This window comes from Homo sapiens, chromosome 6 (genome assembly GCF_000001405.40).
Source record: "Homo sapiens chromosome 6, GRCh38.p14 Primary Assembly".
Taxonomy (NCBI): Eukaryota; Metazoa; Chordata; class Mammalia; order Primates; family Hominidae; genus Homo; species Homo sapiens.
The window spans coordinates 135,166,261-135,183,324 of NC_000006.12; the positions used below are offsets into that span (position 1 = coordinate 135,166,261).

Sequence of the window (17,064 nt, forward strand, 5' to 3'; positions counted from 1 at the left end):
GAGGTTAATTGAGATTTTTTTACTCCAGAGTCTCATGTGGGCCTATTCTTGACCAAACCCCCGCTCAAAAACTAATGTACACCAAGAGGTAATGGTTACAAATGGATCAATGTGGTCATTTAATTCAAAGCAATGGTTGGAACAGGAGTCTGACAACACCCTAGGGTTATTAAGTGTCAGAACAACAGGGAAAGTAACTTTGCTCAGGGCAATCTACTGAAAACACTTAACATTGTGCTGTGCACGGTGGCTCACACCTATAATCCCAGCACTTTGGGAGGCTGAGGAGACAGGATCACTTGAGCCCAGGAGTTTGAGCCCAGCCTGGGCAAACATAGGGAGACCCTGTTGCTACAAAAAATAAAACTAATTAGCCAGGCATGGTGGCACACATCTGCGGTCCCAGCTACTCAGGAGGCTGAGGTGGGAGGGTCACTTGGGCCCAGGAGGTCAAGGCTGCAGTGAACTGTGATTGCGCCACCGCACTCCAGCCTGGGTGACAGAGCAAGACCCTGTCTCAAAAAGAAAAAAAAAAGAAAAAGAAAAGAAAAGCCTGGGTTACATAGGGCAAGTGCTCACCAACTTCTTACCTGGTTGTTGGAATTAAGAATAACCCAAGCTCCCTTGGACAGAACTTTATGCACCTTGTATGGTAATTACTACATGCTGGTTTCCTCCCACTAAGCACCTCCAAGGGCAGGTACTTGTCACACTCATCTTTTGTCTGCAAGCTCCTAGCAAGTGCTTGTCACAAAGTAAACCCTCCTTGAGTGTTTGTTGGCCTCCAAAGAAGTGATAAATTGGGAGGCCGAGGCGGGTTGATCACAAGGTCAGGAGTTTGAGACCAGCTTGACCAACATGGTGAAACCCCATCTCTACTAAAAATACAAAAATTAGCCGGGCATGGTGGTGGGCACCTGTAATCCCAGCTCCCAGCTACTCAGAAGGCTGAGGCAAGAGAATTGCTTGAACCCGGGAAGTGGAGGTTGCAGTGACCCGAGATTGCGCCATTGCACTCCAGCCTGGAAGACAAAGTGAGACTTGGTCTCAAAAAAAAAAAAAAAAAAGAAGAAGTGATAAATGCCCTATTTTTGTGATATGTCCAACACAGCACCATGCCAACTATGAATCTTGAAAATTATTTTTGAAATCCCAGAAGGAAAAATAAAAGACAGATACATTTCTTTTTTACTATATGGAGGCAACATAAATTTTCTAGGTCCTGTTGTTAGAGCTCCCTTGCATCCTTTTTGGTACAAATCAGTGATCCAGAGGATATCTAAATAGCTTAAATAAAATGAAAGCCCTACCTTTTGGATTTTTTGGAAGCTGATTTCAGCATGGTGATACTCAAAATATCAGAGGTGCTGATTTGTTGTTGATTCCCTTCATTGCCTTCACTAACACCAAGTCATATATTTCATAAAGGAAAAGCTTTTACATTTTACATGAAAACTGACCATAATACTACTAAATCCCAGTTGTTTTCTTAATTAGTTTATGCCTAATCATGGCCAACTAAGTCCTACAGCCCCAGGCATGACTCAAAGCCAGAAATGCCAATAATTACTGACCTCAGTAGGTCACGTATTCTTTCTTTGGAAAATTATCTGGAGTAAATTCTTATTCAAAAATCTCTGTGGAGTTACTCTTTATTCTATTTGTTGCAATGAGTTAACCCTCTTATAGGTCTGGAATTTCACAATCCCTCTTAAAATAAGTAGTATTCTCAGTTCACTCATTATTTGCAATACTCATAGATGAACTATTCAATTACTGAAAAGAAATCTAGGAATAATATCACTTTAAAAAAATCTCCTAGGAAGTCCCTAAGGTTTTGTGATCATAAAAGCCTGGGTTCAAAACCTAGCTCTAAACTTTAAAGGTTGTGTAAATTTGCACATGTACTTAAACTCTCAACTGCTCTATTTCCTCCTCAGTCAAATGGAGATAAGACTCACTACTGGCAAGGATGCTTTGAGGGTTAGCAATAGTCTAAAAAAGTGGCTGACATATAGCAAATGCTTAATAAATAGTAGCTATTAATCTAGTGTCTCAGTCTATTAATTACAAACCATATTTGTGTTCTTGTAGTAATTTATCCACAGGTTATGAAACACTTGGACATATATTATCCACTAGATCCTCACTCTGGTTCTGTGGGGTCATGCATAGTACACGTACCATTTCTCTTATATTGATGAAGATTTAGGGTCAAATATTAAACATTTTGCCCAAAGCTGCACAGTGAGTTTGGGAGCCCTAGGACTCAAGCTCAGGGTCTCTGACTCCAAGTCAGATATGTACGTCCTGCCCTCCTTCTACCCTGCCTGCTATCACTGACTCAGGCAGCCTACACATCCATTTAAGGTAAATGTTTATTGTTTGATCAAAAGCTGAATATCAAATGATCTAACTGGAACCTATTGGGATAAATCTTTTTATTTTCCAGCACTCAGGAATTCTACAAATTTGATCTTTAAGAAAATGATGAAGATGAGTATGAATAGCTTGAAGACAGCATAATACCTTAAGCCAAGGTATCTGACCTTGAACAATTCCATGCCCTACAGCTGTACTGTCTAATATAGGAGCCATAACTACATATGGCCATTGAGCAATTGAACTGCAGTTTGTGTGGCTGAGGAACTGAATTTTAAAATTTATTTATTTTTAATTAATTTAACAATTATTGATTGTTAATTTATTGATAGTTAATGACTAACTTATTTATAATTAACATTAATTAATTTAATATTAAATTTAAAACTGACAGTTGCTTTAGTTACAGGAAAACTTTTAAGTATAAAAAATTTTAAGTATGTTTTAAACAACTTGGGTATGCAATCTACTTTTTCAACTATACATTTTATGAATTCTAAATTTGTAAATAAAGTATTTCTGATGAGTATTGAGTATCTGAATTGAGTTGTGCCATGGGTATAATATATACACCAGATTTCAAAGACTTAGTACCAAGAAAAGAATGTAAAATATCTTCTTAATAATTTTTATTATTGACTGCACCTTGAAATGATAACATTTTGTATATATTAGTTTAAATAAAACATATCCACCCCTCTAATCCCAGCATTTTGGAAGGCCAAGGCAGGTGGATCACTTTAGGTCAAGAGTTCAAGACCAGCCTGGCTAACATGGTGAAACCCTGTCTCTACTAAAAATACAAAAATTAGCCCGGCATGGTGGTGTGCACCTGTAATCCCAGCTACTCAGGAGGGTGAGGCAGGAGAATTCCTTGAACCAAGGAGACAGAGGTTGCAGTGAGCCAAGATCACGCCACTGTACTCCAGCCTGGCAACAGAGCAAGATTCTATCTCAAAAAAAAGTATGTATATACATATGTATACATATGTGTATATATGTCATCACAATTAGGGATATTTGTTTCTTTTTTTTTAGGGATATCTGTTTCTTTTCTTCTTTTTTTAGCATGGCACAAAAAAATTTTAAGTAGATATATGGCTCGAATTGAATTTTACCTGGCAGCACTGTCCTAAAGGAAACCCAATGAGCTATGTAACCAGAGAAAATCACATATAATGTCACTTTTTATTTTATTAACCAATTTTCATTTTTGACAGGCCTGAGTCTCAGATTCTTCACTACTGAGGGTTTTCAAAGATGCTACTTTCTCTGAGACAGGCAGACAGAGGGCAAGAATGTGGGATTTTCTTTGGTGGGATAGGACTGGAGAAGTGAAAAGGCCTAAAAATACTGAAATTGACATAACTCTTGAATTAAAAGCTATGCTCAGTTTAATTCATTGCCTCAAACATTTATGGGACATCTACAAAGTGCAAGTGATTTGTTACGTGAAGGTTAATAGAGCCCAAAATTCCAGCCTCTAAGGTGCTTATATCCAAGTGCAGTATTTCTCAAGACGTGGTCCAGAAACCATCACGTCAGCATCACCTGATTCTGCCTGTTAAAAATGCATATTCTTAAGTCTTAGCTAAGCCTATTGAATTCAACTTCTGGAGATGGTTACTCAGGAGTCTGAGTGTTAAATGGTCATTCTTATGCCACTAAAATATGATTCCCTCTTTCAGAGGGCAAGAGTGAGACATGAAACAGTGGATATTGTGTAAGTACTCTGCTGGAGGCATGGGAGCATTCACAGTATGCCATGAAAGACCTTTTTGAGCAGCAGGTTTCTAAACGAATTTATAATGACGAGCAGGAATTAGTCACCAAAGAAGGCTGGGAGGAGAGTAGCAAGCAGAGGCTCAGAATGAGTGAGATATCTGGGCACAAGTCCTTATGGCATATATGAGGACCTATGAGAAGTGCACTGTTACTAGGGCATAAGTGTAATATGAGGCTATAAAAACCTTAGATGAAATGCTTTAATCTTTAGAGTAGGGGTTTTCTTAGGGTGAAGGGGACATTGGTGGAAGAAATAGGGGAGGCATGTGTAGTTTGAAGACAGTTTCCAGATGACACTGATATTCTGCTCAAGAGCCACTGCTACCAGCAGCATTTTAAGCAAGGAGTATTATAGCCAGGACTGTGTTTAGGAATTTTTCTGCCTGACAGGTGAGAGGAAAATGGCTTTGAGAGGGGCTAGCCCAGCACAAGGGAGTTGATCATTCTCTAAACTAAAGTGATGGTAAGAGAGATTAAAAAGGAGGGAAATAAAGCAGTGAACTTAGCAGGGCTTTGAACTTGACTGAATGTCGGTGAGGGGAGAGTTTAGGGCGACTCCAAGTTCCTGGCTTGACTACAACTGAAAGGGTGGTAATGCCATTCACTGAGAGAGAACGTCAACAACCAAGCCTGTTCTAATTTCAAAACTTTGCTTGGCATGTTCTTTTGAATGAGTCATTACATGCAAAACCTGTTGACAGTCTTCAAAAGGAACCAATGAAGACATAACATGGCACAAGATTGTACACCACTATGGAGGAACTGCATCAAGTTTTTATTAATAAAATCTGTTCCCATCTTATATTTTCAAAGAGACCTACTTATGACAAAATGTTTTGTGGCTTTTCATCAATATTATCATCATGAAAATTTTGATATTTACACACTGAAAGGTACCTTTAAGTGCAATAGAGTGAGGTTTTTTTCAGAGTTTTAAATATTAGTAACACCAACTTTATATACATGTACGTCAAATCATTGAGAAAAACATGTAACAGTGTGAAGGTAAAAGGTATCTTCTTTTAAAAAGTATTTTGCATAGATATTGTTCTTTAAATGTTCCATGAGGATATCCTTAACTACCAGTTATTTAGAAGAAAGAAAGAAGCAGCAAAAGAGTTTTCAAAGAAAAAAAAGTATATGCAATCTAAAAGCCAGCTAAGGTGCTATGCACACCCTCTAAGTCCCAGCTGCTTGGGAGGCTGAGGCAGGAGGATCACTTGAGCCCAGGAATTCAAAACCAGCTTGGGCAACATAGCAACATCTCATCTCAAAAAAAAAGAGAAAAAGTTATCAAAACTCCATGTAACCTAGATTAAAACATAATTAGAAATTTTATACATATATCAAAATGTCATATTGTTCCCCATAAATATATACACTTATAATTTATCAATTATTGATAAAGAAATAAGAGCTTTTATATCACGATTTTGGTGTACCTGACATTTTTCAAACAAATTCCGCCTTTTGGGGCCAAAGTGCTCTCTGTCAAGCTCCATACTAAAGGATCAAATGAGCCTCCCCAAGCTCCCAGCAGAACTAGCACTTTGGAACTTTGTCAAAATTTTAAGACAAAGGATTATAAACACTTTGATATAGTTTCCTTAGAGGCTGAATGTTTTGCTTAACACAAATATTTAAACCAAATTAAGATAACTCAAGAACTGATATGTTTCATAAACTGATTGTTTTTATTTTTCTCAGAACCGTTACCTTAACTGAAGAGTAAATTGGAATAAGCAATTTCTATAGATGTCAAAACTTTGTAAAATTGATTTTTTACATCATCCACAAACTTTGTATTTCTAGCAACAAATGTAAAAGAAAGAGTAGAGTTATGGTACACTTCATCCTAACAGGGTTCACATTTAAAATCATGTAGTCCACTTCTGTGAAGGGCCCAAGAAAAATAACTCCCTTAAATCCGTTCCTTTCTTCTTGTTCTGTTCGAGTTAAAAACTTTATTTTCTTAGACTTTGGTTAAAAAAAAAAAAAAAAAAAAAACAAGGAAAGACATAGTGGTGATTAAAAAACATGCCATTTCTTACCAAATGGTTTTCACAAAGCCTAAAAAAACCTACAGTTGCTGGAATTAAGCACTCATTCACTTATTGATTTTATGACTAATTTTAAAATGGATGGCCCATTGAGGTAAATTCAATATTATATAAAGATGTAGTAAAGTCAACAATCAGATAAATATACAATGATAAAGTAGGAGAGACAGAAATAAGATTCAGAAAAATAATATGTGAAACATCATGCTTTAAAAGAAAAACAGTTCCAAAGTCATATTGCCAAACAGACAGAAATCTATCCAAATCATAGAAATAAAGCACTACAAGTAAGCTTAAAATTATGATTTTGCTATCATTTGTAAGGTTATCAACCTTTATCTGAGGACAGAATTGAATCCCTTTGAAGGACTCACAATACAGGAAGAATTACAAGAACATAAAGGCATAGGAGTTAAAAGTTGAAGGCTGCCAGAGAGTAGCGGAAAGAACTTTGGATTTGGAACAAAAAAACCTTCATTTAAACAGTCCCAGCTCTGGTAAATGTTATCTGTGTGACCTTGTGCAAATTACTTCACCTGTTTCAATTTCAGTTACTTGACCTGGAATTGAGGAAAATAATACCTGCGGGGGAGACATAGGCAGAAAGGCATGAACTGCTGTGAGGATTAAATGATATAATATATGGCACAGCCTGTTGTAATCTCTAAAGCCAAATATAACGTGCTAATAAGTATATTAAATAAAAAATAAATAAAACAGCTCCAACTAGTTCTCATCAGTTGTCATCAGCACAACAAAGATTTATGTACGTACTTATGTTCAAGACCCCGTTCTAGGAACTGAGTAGGTAGAAAGGTAAAAGATACTGTCTCTCCTCTCTGACCTATAATGAAGGCTCCAGATGAAATAAGACACATTTATAAATAGATAGATAGATGATGCTTAGATAGATAGATAGGTAATAGATGACAGATAGATAGATAGATAGATAGATAGATAGATACATAGATAGATACATAGATAGATACATAGATAGATAGATGATAGCAAAGAAAGGTAACATAGGCCATACACTCAACAAGAGTCAGGGAAGGTAGGTATTAACACAACTCACAGGTGGGAGAAATGACTGTGGATTAGCAAGGTCCAAGAAGGCTTCAGAAGGAAGATTTGGACTTCAGCAGGGCCTGAAGAATGGGTAGCACTTACATAAGCAGAGAGGAGAAAGGAAGGCATTGCAGGCAGGAGGCATGCTTGTAACCAAAGGCCTGAGATTGCCAATGGTTTTTTGGGGGAGGAAACAGAGTGAACAGAGTATGATAAGAGATAAGGCTGAAAGGTAGGTTGTGTTCTAAGGCAAAATGGCATGCAGTCAGTGTGCCCGTCAAGCCCTGCAGGTTGTCTATAGCCAGGCCCACTCTGATTGGCCAATACATGAGCCACTTCAGGTATTAAATACTATCACCCCTGGGGGTAAGGTTGTCTGGGCACAGAGGCCAGAGCAAGCTCAGTATAGGGAATGCCAAGTTAAGGAGTTCAGATCTCTATCTTGTCAACATTAGGGAGCCAGTTAAGGGTATTTAAACAGATGACTAACATGCTAAAAGTGAGTATAATGAGATTATTGAGCAGTGGGATGCAGAATGCATGGGGGAAAAGTGGCCACAGGGTGGAAAATTAATTAGGGGGCTGTTATGGTAGTTCAGGGTGAAGTAATAATAGCCTAGAAGAAGGTGGTGACAATAGAAAGAGAAAACAGGCCCTGAATGTGCAGGAATCATCTAGTAAAAGTTCCACTTCTTTCTTTCTGCAGGCCCAAGCCTTGCACAGTGCCCAACACTAAGTAAACACATGTGTTTATCAACTATAAGGAACTATGGAAACATTGTCAGGGATACAAAGGTAAATTGAGAGACCTGAGTATTTAAGAAAGAAACAGAATATTAAAGACTGGAAACATTTTTAAAGATCTCTACTGCAGCCTCCATGGATTGAAGGTTTGAAATATGAGGCTCAGAGAAACTGTGTGCTGCTCATACATTTGATGAACCTGCCTTAAACACCCTGTTATTTGTTATTCCAATAAGCCCCTAAATGTTATTAATCTTTTGTTGTTGTTGTTTCTATTAGCATTTCTACTAATAAAAGCTTACTGTTTTGTTGACTAACTTTGAAAGCTGCTATTTTACATTTATAACATATGTGGGAAAGTATAGAGAAGGAGGGGAATTGACTAAGAACAGTTGTGAGAAGAGATAAGAGAGAAATTACATCTGTAGGCCGGGTGCAGTGTCTCACGCCTGTAATCACAACACTTTGGGAGGCCCAGGCAGGCGGATCACGAGGTCAGGAGTTCAAGACCAGCCTGGCCAACACAGTGAAACCCCGTCTGTACTAAAAATACAAAAATTAACTGGGCGTGGTGGCAGGCGCATGTAATCCCAGCTACTCGGGAGGCTGAGGCAGGAGAATTGCTTGAACCAGGAAGTCAGAGGTTGCAGTGAGCCGAGATCGTGCCATTGCACTCCAGCCCAGGTGACAGAGCTAGACTCCGTCAAAAAAAAAAAAAAAGAAAGAAAGAAAGAAAGAAAGAAATTACATCTGTAAACTGGTCTTGAAGAATTTCCCCGAAAGCTTTAAAAAGATAGGACTGTCACTTGGAGAAAAGTTAACGATTCCATAAAACAGATATTCTAAAGCAGAAAGAGGTAAGACCTTCATCCTCTACAGCAATGTTTTTCAAACTGCGATTCACTACCTATAAACAGAGCACGAAAACAACTTTGGGATCCTGACCAGAATGAAGAGAAGAGAAGAGAAGAGGTCTCAGATTGCATGCTTGGTAGTAAGGGGTAAGTATTGTTTTGTGAAACTTTTAAAAATTATTATTTAATAGGGACAAGGTCTCACTATGTTGCCCAGGCTGGTCTCAAACTCCTGGTCTCAAGCAATCCTCCCACCTCGGCATACCAAAAAAGTGCTGGGATTACAGGTGTGAGCCACCACACATGGCCAGAACTTTTCTTAGCTCTGTGTGTGTGTGTGTGTGCGTGTGCGTTGAGATAGGATGTAAGATGTGCTTCTTATCGTGTCACATATAAAAATATTTGAGGCCGGGTGCAGTGGCTCACGCCTGTAATCCCAACACTTTGGGAGGCTGAGGCGGGTGGACCACCTGAGGTCAGGAGTTCGAGACCAGCCTGGCCAACATTGTGAAACCCCGTCTCTACTAAAAATACAAAATATTAGCTGGGCGTGGTGGAAGGTGCCTGTAATCCCAGCTACTCGGGAGGCTGTGGCAGGAGAATCGCTTGAACTCGGGAAGCGGAGGTTGTCGTGAGCCAAGATCGCACCATTGCACTCCAGCCTGAGCAATAAGAGCGAGACTCTGTCTCAAAACATATATGTATATACGTATGTGTGTGTGTATTTGAAAGCCACCTTTTCCTCAAATAAATCAAAGCCTTTCAAAATCAGTTGAAAAAATACAGAATTTTATTAAAAGAAGAAAACATTTGTGTGTGTGTGTATATATATATATAACTTTCTTTATTCCCCAACAGGTCTCTCCACCCAGCCTCTACCTCTCAGTCTCAGCCCTGTCTTTTAACCTCTTAAATATTATCCAAAGACTTTCCCTTGGTCAGATCTCTACATTAGCAACTCTATGAAATAGCACAGTTGTTGCCTTCATGTAAATAAACTCTTAAATAAAGCATTTATTTGATGTGCTACTGGTGAATGTTTAACAATCAGTTTTCCAATAAGAAAAAGCCCTTATTTGTAGCACTTGCCATTTCCTGTGGTGTAAATACTCCAACTAGAGCCAATTTCAAGTTACTAACATTACATCACTACATATGAAATTGGAAAGAGATGCACAACAGCACATATTACATTGTGTGATAGACATAAATAACCTCAAGTATGTAGATAATAGGAAAATGTCATAAAATAGGAAGTGATGAGTTTTGAATATTTATTGTCTTTTAAAATAAAATATATTTAACTGTAAGTTTATATAATTTACTTTTTAATAATGGCTGTGTCTAACAATTAACTCACAAAATTTAGCTCCCGTGTATTCCTGACCCAGCTTGACTTCGCCAGCAGGCTCTGATCCCACACTCTCTACCACCTGCTGAACAACTCTACCCGGATGTCTTCCATAAGAAACCACAAATTTAACATACCGAAATCTAAACATGCTTTCCTCTTTGAATCTCCCAGTGCATACTTCTCTTCGCCTCTTGACTTCCCTATTTCTATTAATGGTGCCTCTAATATCCTTAGCAACCCAATCAGTTGCTAAGTCTTGAAGGCTCTGCCTATGTTCTTCTGATCTGCCTCCTCCTTTTCATTCCACTTACGGTTACTGTCCTACCCCAGACAATTACCTAGCCTCTTCCCCTTGTCTCTTCTCACTCCAATCTATCTGACAATACTGATAGATTAATCTTCCACACACACAGCTCTGATAATATAGCTTTGCTATTCAACGCACATACATGAATCCGGCCTTCAAAGCTCTCCTTGCTTCAGGCAATCTGGCTAGCTCCTTCTTTCCTGTGCTGGGAACATGCCTTGTGGATTCTGATTGTGTGATTTTGCTCTCACTTTTGACTTTCTCTGGACTGTCCTTCCCTCTTTATGGAAAGACTCATAACTTTTATACAAGACAGCTCAAACAACAATAAAAATATGTGGGTTGGTTGTCATAGGAATATGTAAGTTGATGAGAATCTGGAGAGCGGAAACAAACAAGAAGTGCCAAATCCAGGAATCATTTTAAAATAAAAATTTATTTGGTCACTATCTGTTATGGAGGTTCTATGAAACATACTACACTGTTATGGAGGTTCTATGAAACATGCTACACTGAGGTAGCACTTAGTCCACTGTCATTACTAAAAGATTTTCTGGGGGAGTCAACATGAGATTTATCTCAAAACTATGGATTTCAATTATACATGCCACAGCTTTTCTTCATTAACTGAAATAATTAAGAATTGTCTGCATTTTAACCATTTACTGTAACTATTTCCCTCTTAATGCCCTGAGCCAAACTGGGTTGAGTGGGTGAGGAAAGGTGGGTGGTAGAGACATGGAGCCCCTAATCTGGTCTGTTTTCACCATTGATGAGCCTGATTCATCTTTGGGATGTGGATCACGAGGATTAAAGATCCACCACGTGCCCAGGATTTCCCAGCAATTAGAAGCAAAGAAACTAGAATTTGTATCTTTTATATATATTTTGTCCTTCAGCCCTTCTCCAGTGCTTAGAGTAAAATAAAATCCCTTAAGTGCTTGCTTTTTTCAGCAGGAGAATCCTAATGATGAGCAGCATGTGATCAAGCGATTCCTTTTCCTTCAAGCTGAGGTTGAAGTTCAGTAGCGAAGGAAGAAGGAACAGGCAGCTACAGCCCTCTGGTCAGCAGCACCAACTTTCTCACGGAGTTAAATTAGTTTGGGTTATGGAGAGCCTGAATCTTTAGCCCAGGAGAGGTGAAAGTGAATGAGGGAGAGGAAGGCGGTGAGAGACAAATGGCAAAGGTAAAAGTGGGCTGGGTGCAGTGGCTCACAACTGTAATCCCAGCACTTTGGGAGGCTGAGGCAGGAGGATCAAGCGCTTGAGCCTAGGAGTTTGAGACCAGCTTGGGCAATATGGTGAGACCTCTTCTCAACAAAATATTTAAAAATTAACTGGGCATGGAGGTGCATGCCTGTAGTTCTAGCTACTTGGGAGGCTGAGATGGAAAAATCACTTAAGCCTGGGAGGTGGAGACTACAATGAACTGTGATGGTGCCACTGGACTCCAGCCTGAGCAATAGAGGGAGACCCTGTCTCAAAAATATACATATTTTTTTATTTTTAAAAAAGGTAAAAGTGTATCAAAGCAGTCTGCCTTCACTCTGATACTGAGATTATCAACCAGTGCTCTGCAGACCTTCCATGAAAACTACTGTTAAAGATGCAGATTGTTAGGCCTCATCTCAAACCTACTGAATCATGGTCTCTAGGGGGACAGCCTGGGACTGTGCATCTTTCATGGGTACACCCAGCAATTCTGATACACTCGAAAGCAAGTTTGTCTAACCTGTGACCCGCAGGCTGCATATAGCCAAGGACAGCTTTGAATGCAGCCCAACGCAAATTTGTGAACTTTCTTAAAACATTATGAGTTTTTTTGTGGTATTTCTTTAAGCTCATCAGCTATCGTTAGTGTTAGTATATTTCATGTGTGGCCCTTCTTCCAATGTGGCCCAGGGAAGCCAAAAGATTGGACACTTGGGCTCTAAAGATTGAGGATCACTGCTCTAGTGTTGGCCAACTACTCTAGTGTTGGCCTGCAGACTCAATACAGCCTTTGAGCTAAAAACGGTTTTTACATTTTTAAAGGGTTGTAAAAAAAGACAAAAAGAAAGACAGACAAGGAAAGACACAGAAGAATATACAACATAGCCTACAAAGCATTTACTATCTGGTCTTTTACAAAAGAGTTTTCTGACCCCTTTCTAGTGCACTGCAAATGAAAGGCTGTACCCAAATTTAGCTCCAGTGCAGCCCTGCCACAGCTGAAATAACTGATGTAGCAAGCAGATCTTAAAAAAAAAAGTGATGAAATGTGTAAAGTTGTCATCTAAAAATACTTTTGTAATAATTATAAATGGAGAGAGAAAATGTATAAATACAAACATTCTGTAATGAGTTTAAAAATATAGTTTCATCCATACAAGAATTTTGATAACTCCATTTGATTCTGTTTTTCCATAAGCTTATCAGATAGCAATATATCCAACATTAGCCTAATAAAATTACTGCATGTGAATTCTTTATTGGACTATGCATATTCCCAAACATATTATTGTCATACAACTGAGGGAAAAATGTAAAACTATATCTGGGAAATGAAAAATTATAAATTCTCAAAATGATACATAGGAAAATGATTTACAAAGAAAAAAAGGAAAACTGAACTTAGTATCTTTCTACTTTAAAGGGGTTCAAGAACTTAGGAGTAGTTACACACCTCCTAAAATCTTGAAAAAGAGGCTATGAACTCACTTCACAAAGGGTTCAGATACTCACATTGTGTCCAAGAGACTCAGCAATTGGGAATCTTGCCAGTTAGATTCATAAAGCAATCCGAAAGCCAGAATGCAATTTCTTTAGGGGTGGTTTCTAGATGTTTATTCTAGATATTTTTAAAAGATTTTGTTTATTTTTGATGTGAAGAAAGAAAATTATTATAGAATCTAGAAATAAATATTGGCTTTAAAAGTATTAATTTGCCTTGTCCTTTGTAATTGTGATCCGAAATATCTCACAATAATTTTGTTTCAGTGTTATTTTCTTCTCAGGAGGAAAGGAATGTTAAAACCTTACTAGCAACTAACACTTGATAAAGATTTAAACTATATAACAATTTTAAAGAAAGTCTAAAACACCAGATAGTCTTGAAACCTCGCATGCTTCACCGTTTAATAAAATTATGACTCATTTTAGTAAGAACATGCTTTTTTAGTAAGAAAAAATGCTTTCTGAGCTAAGTTTGAACTGCTGGGGCACATGGGACACCCACAAACCCAGTCAGCAGAAGTCTCAAACTCCTAAAAGATTAAAGGAAAAATACATTAGTGTGTACAGAGAATGAAAAAAAAATCCCCAATGGTTCTAATCTATAAACGGAAGTAAAACTAAAACTCCCCTAAAATCCCCCCAGTCATCAATCCTTATAAATTCAGCACTTATCTTCTTCCTTTACTTCTGGAGACCCTCATTAAACAACACGAAAGCCTTTGCTGACTTTTATCTCGTAAAATAGAGCCCTCAAATGACACTAAGCAGGGATACCGACCTCCAAAATCACAAACTGTTTTACTTCTAAAACCATGCATGCAAACGTGGGGTTTCCTGAGTTCTGCTAGGGGCGGGCTGTCTGGACCCCCGTGTATTTTTTTTTTTTTTTTTTTTTTTTTTTTTTTTTTGCAGGTGTGCAATCCAGGGTGCGCGCTCTGTGCAGGGAGGGGAGCAAAGGTGTGCGGTGGGCACCGCCTGGGCCGGGCGGGGCGGGGTGGGTGGGGCCCGGGTGTGTGCTGGGGTGAGAGTGAAGGACATGTGACAATACGACGGTGGCGGCTGCAGGATCCGGGAGGGGAGTGAAAGCTCCGCTGGGGCGCTCCATTAGTGAGCGGTGATGGTTGCCGCCCACTTGTATTGAAGCGTCCTTTGTCACTAACAAGTTAAATTAGAGATGTTATTTATTTAAGAAGAAGGAAAAAAAACCCTAGCCAAACAGCCTATGAATACATATGCTCACATCCCCTACTCCTCCAACTCCTAATTTCCCCGTCTCCAGAGGGCACAGTTGTAAACCTTGACGAAAATCCAATCTTCTGTGCGGGAATTTCCCCCCACCGCTTGCCGCCCCCGCGACAGTGAGTGGGAGCTGGAGGAGCTCTGGTCCCGCTGCCCGGGAGCACGCGGAGCCGGGCGACCGCGGTGCGGCAGCCAGGGAGGAGGGGAGGCGGCGGGACTGGGCGCGGGTCGGCGCCGCCGCGACCCGGGAGCGGGGTTTGCTCAGGAAAAGGCGCCGTCGCGGCCCCCGGCCACCCCTCCCTGGCCCCGGGCTCCCTGCCCGCGCGCCTCCCGGGCCTCGCGGCGCGCTAGGCGCACCGCGGCGGCGCGAGCGCCGAATGGGAGCGGCGACCCGGCCAGCCCGGCAGCCCCGCGGGCGGCAGCCAGGGCGACCGCGGAGGCGGCGGGCAGGGCGCGTGCGCACTGCAGGGGCGCCAGATTTGGCGGGAGGGGGAGTGTCCAAAGCTCTTTGTTTGATGGCATCTCTGTTTACAGAGTTTACACTTTAATATCAACCTGTTTCCTCCTCCTCCTTCTCCTCCTCCTCCGTGACCTCCTCCTCCTCTTTCTCCTGAGAAACTTCGCCCCAGCGGTGCGGAGCGCCGCTGCGCAGCCGGGGAGGGACGCAGGCAGGCGGCGGGCAGCGGGAGGCGGCAGCCCGGTGCGGTCCCCGCGGCTCTCGGCGGAGCCCCGCGCCCGCCGCGCCATGGCCCGAAGACCCCGGCACAGGTAACGGGGAGCCGGGCGGGCGGCCGAGGGCGGGGGCGCGCGGGGGCGCGCGGGGCGCCAGGCTCCCGGGAGCAGGTGGGAATTCGTTCCGGGATCATCTGAGGGGCTGTCAGACCCTCCGAGGACCTGGAGCCCCTGCCTCGGCAGCAGAAGCCGCTCCAGAGACTGATGAATGGAAGAGTCTTTGCGGGAAATGTATCCGGACGTTGGGAAGCACGCCCTGCGGCTCATTTTGCAAGTTGCATGGGGATACATTTTTCTTTAGGGGGAAAAAGAAAGCACGTTCCAGCCGAGGGCAGAGCGGTGCCCACCAGCCCCGGGGAGCCCACCAGGTGCCTGGCTTGATGCCGCGGGTGTCGGCGAGGGATCCGCAGCGTAATTGCTGGATGCATTGAGATATGTTTGGACTTGGAAGTGCAGAGCATATGGCAGATACAGGGAAAATGCTGGATTGTTTAGTAGCTGCAGGTAGTTCATTTAAATTTCATTCATTCTTTATGGAGGCGAGGACCAGTGTCAGCTGACAGGCGGCTGAAAAGCAGATTTTAGGGGGATAAAGGGGTCTCTACTTTTGCAAATTGTCTTAAGACCTGGTTTTGGAGGTTCGAATCATTTTTCTCTGAAAGGCTTTTACTTCCACTGCAAACATTGCACGCGCACCCACACGCGCCGCCGTCGCACATGTCACTGCACTTAGGGAGGCTCGCCGGGAAGATGGGTGCAGTCCCTTCACATTTTTGGCCGGACAGATGGGAAGAGGGAGAGGAGGAGGAGGAGGGAAATCCTCGTCCGAACTGTCAGTTGCTCGTTCCCCAGTCTCCACCGGCCTCTGGACTTTCCCAGCAGCACACGCCGGGGCTCCCTGCGAGCGGCGGGTGCCAGGGCTAGCTCGGCAGCCGTCGCAGTCGCCACTCGGCTCAAGGGGACAGAGGCCGGCAGCACCCAAGGCCGCTGCCGCGCAACCGGGACGCGATCCCCGCGGGCTCTGCCCCCAGGCGAAAGGTCCCTGCGCGGCGCGCACACGTGGATGCGGCTGAGGTCGCCGCGCCTTCTCGCACCCTCCTTCAGCCGCCTTAGGTCGCCCCGGCCGAGGCGCGGTGACCGGACAGACCCTCGCGAAGGAGTTCTAAGGCGAAGTCCATGGAGGCAAAGCAAATCCATTCGCCTTTCCTTAGATTGTTTGATTTTCTCCTACTGGTTTGTTGTTGAGCCTGCGGGCGCTGGTCCCCGCGCGGCGCTGGGAAGTTGCAAAGAGCGTGGGTGGAGACCCTGCAGCAGCACCCGCGGGCTGGGCTGGGCGGGGAGCAGCGCCGGGGCTTGGTTGGGCTCTGGGGACGAGAGGGCGACTTGGGGGAGCTCCGGGCTCCCTATGCCTACTCCGGAGCCTGGCCGCGCAGGACGGTGTGCTGCCCCTCGAGGGCTCCACTTTTCGCCTTTAGGACTTCACAGGACAGCTACCGGGGTCATCTGTTTTTTTTTTTTTTTTTTTTTTCGAGAGCTGAAACTGGCAGCAGGAGGAGGGAGTCGGGCAGGGGTGCTGGGAGGAGGCGCGGCAGCGGCTCCGCGCCCCGAGGTCTCGGCCGCCCCCGCGGGGCGGGGCCGCGCAGGTTCCCTGAGGCTCCAGGTAGCCCAGAGGGGAGGCGGCTGGGAGGGGCGGGAGCCTTGAACCTGCCTCAGGGGAAGAGAAACCCGACTGCGGGCTCGGAGCCGTTTCTTGCAAGGGCGAGCGTCAACTCGGCAGGGATTATATTAACCAGGTCAGCGAAATGAGTTTGAACCCCTCCGAAT

General features: G+C 42.6%; 1 protein-coding gene across 18 annotated transcripts in view, besides 8 other annotated features; it reads left to right on the plus strand.

The window, feature by feature from the left end:
* Positions 4,102-4,318: a silencer, noted in NCBI's record as "fragment chr6:135491500-135491716 (GRCh37/hg19 assembly coordinates)". NCBI's record gives its function as "represses an EF-1alpha promoter that drives an FKBP-Casp9 reporter gene in an ReSE screen in phorbol 12-myristate 13-acetate-treated (for megakaryocytic differentiation) K562 erythroleukemia cells {active_cell/tissue: K562(+PMA)}" and the evidence as "EXISTENCE:reporter gene assay evidence [ECO:0000049][PMID:32094911]".
* Positions 14,167-14,276: a silencer, noted in NCBI's record as "silent region_17562". NCBI's record gives its function as "represses an Ori minimal core promoter by ATAC-STARR-seq in GM12878 lymphoblastoid cells {active_cell/tissue: GM12878}" and the evidence as "EXISTENCE:reporter gene assay evidence [ECO:0000049][PMID:35858748]".
* Positions 14,717-14,766: a silencer, noted in NCBI's record as "silent region_17563". NCBI's record gives its function as "represses an Ori minimal core promoter by ATAC-STARR-seq in GM12878 lymphoblastoid cells {active_cell/tissue: GM12878}" and the evidence as "EXISTENCE:reporter gene assay evidence [ECO:0000049][PMID:35858748]".
* Positions 14,837-15,056: a silencer, noted in NCBI's record as "silent region_17564". NCBI's record gives its function as "represses an Ori minimal core promoter by ATAC-STARR-seq in GM12878 lymphoblastoid cells {active_cell/tissue: GM12878}" and the evidence as "EXISTENCE:reporter gene assay evidence [ECO:0000049][PMID:35858748]".
* The window catches only part of MYB (MYB proto-oncogene, transcription factor), a 37,865-nt gene continuing 35,848 nt past the window's right edge, over positions 15,048-17,064 (plus strand). For 17 of the 18 annotated variants that reach the window (NR_134965.2, NR_134958.2, NR_134961.2 and 14 more), the window contains exon 1: positions 15,048-15,276. Coding sequence is in view for 8 of the 18 variants with exons in the window: in NM_001130173.2 (NP_001123645.1) it covers positions 15,254-15,276 (23 nt within the window). In the remaining 10 variants the exon portion in view is untranslated. Of the gene's footprint in view, positions 15,277-16,934; positions 17,034-17,064 lie in introns of those variants that run through there. The other variant, XM_047418834.1, reaches the window with a different exon arrangement.
* Positions 15,117-15,166: a silencer, noted in NCBI's record as "silent region_17565". NCBI's record gives its function as "represses an Ori minimal core promoter by ATAC-STARR-seq in GM12878 lymphoblastoid cells {active_cell/tissue: GM12878}" and the evidence as "EXISTENCE:reporter gene assay evidence [ECO:0000049][PMID:35858748]".
* Positions 16,216-16,295: a silencer, noted in NCBI's record as "silent region_17566". NCBI's record gives its function as "represses an Ori minimal core promoter by ATAC-STARR-seq in GM12878 lymphoblastoid cells {active_cell/tissue: GM12878}" and the evidence as "EXISTENCE:reporter gene assay evidence [ECO:0000049][PMID:35858748]".
* Positions 16,536-16,585: a silencer, noted in NCBI's record as "silent region_17567". NCBI's record gives its function as "represses an Ori minimal core promoter by ATAC-STARR-seq in GM12878 lymphoblastoid cells {active_cell/tissue: GM12878}" and the evidence as "EXISTENCE:reporter gene assay evidence [ECO:0000049][PMID:35858748]".
* Positions 16,756-16,985: a silencer, noted in NCBI's record as "silent region_17568". NCBI's record gives its function as "represses an Ori minimal core promoter by ATAC-STARR-seq in GM12878 lymphoblastoid cells {active_cell/tissue: GM12878}" and the evidence as "EXISTENCE:reporter gene assay evidence [ECO:0000049][PMID:35858748]".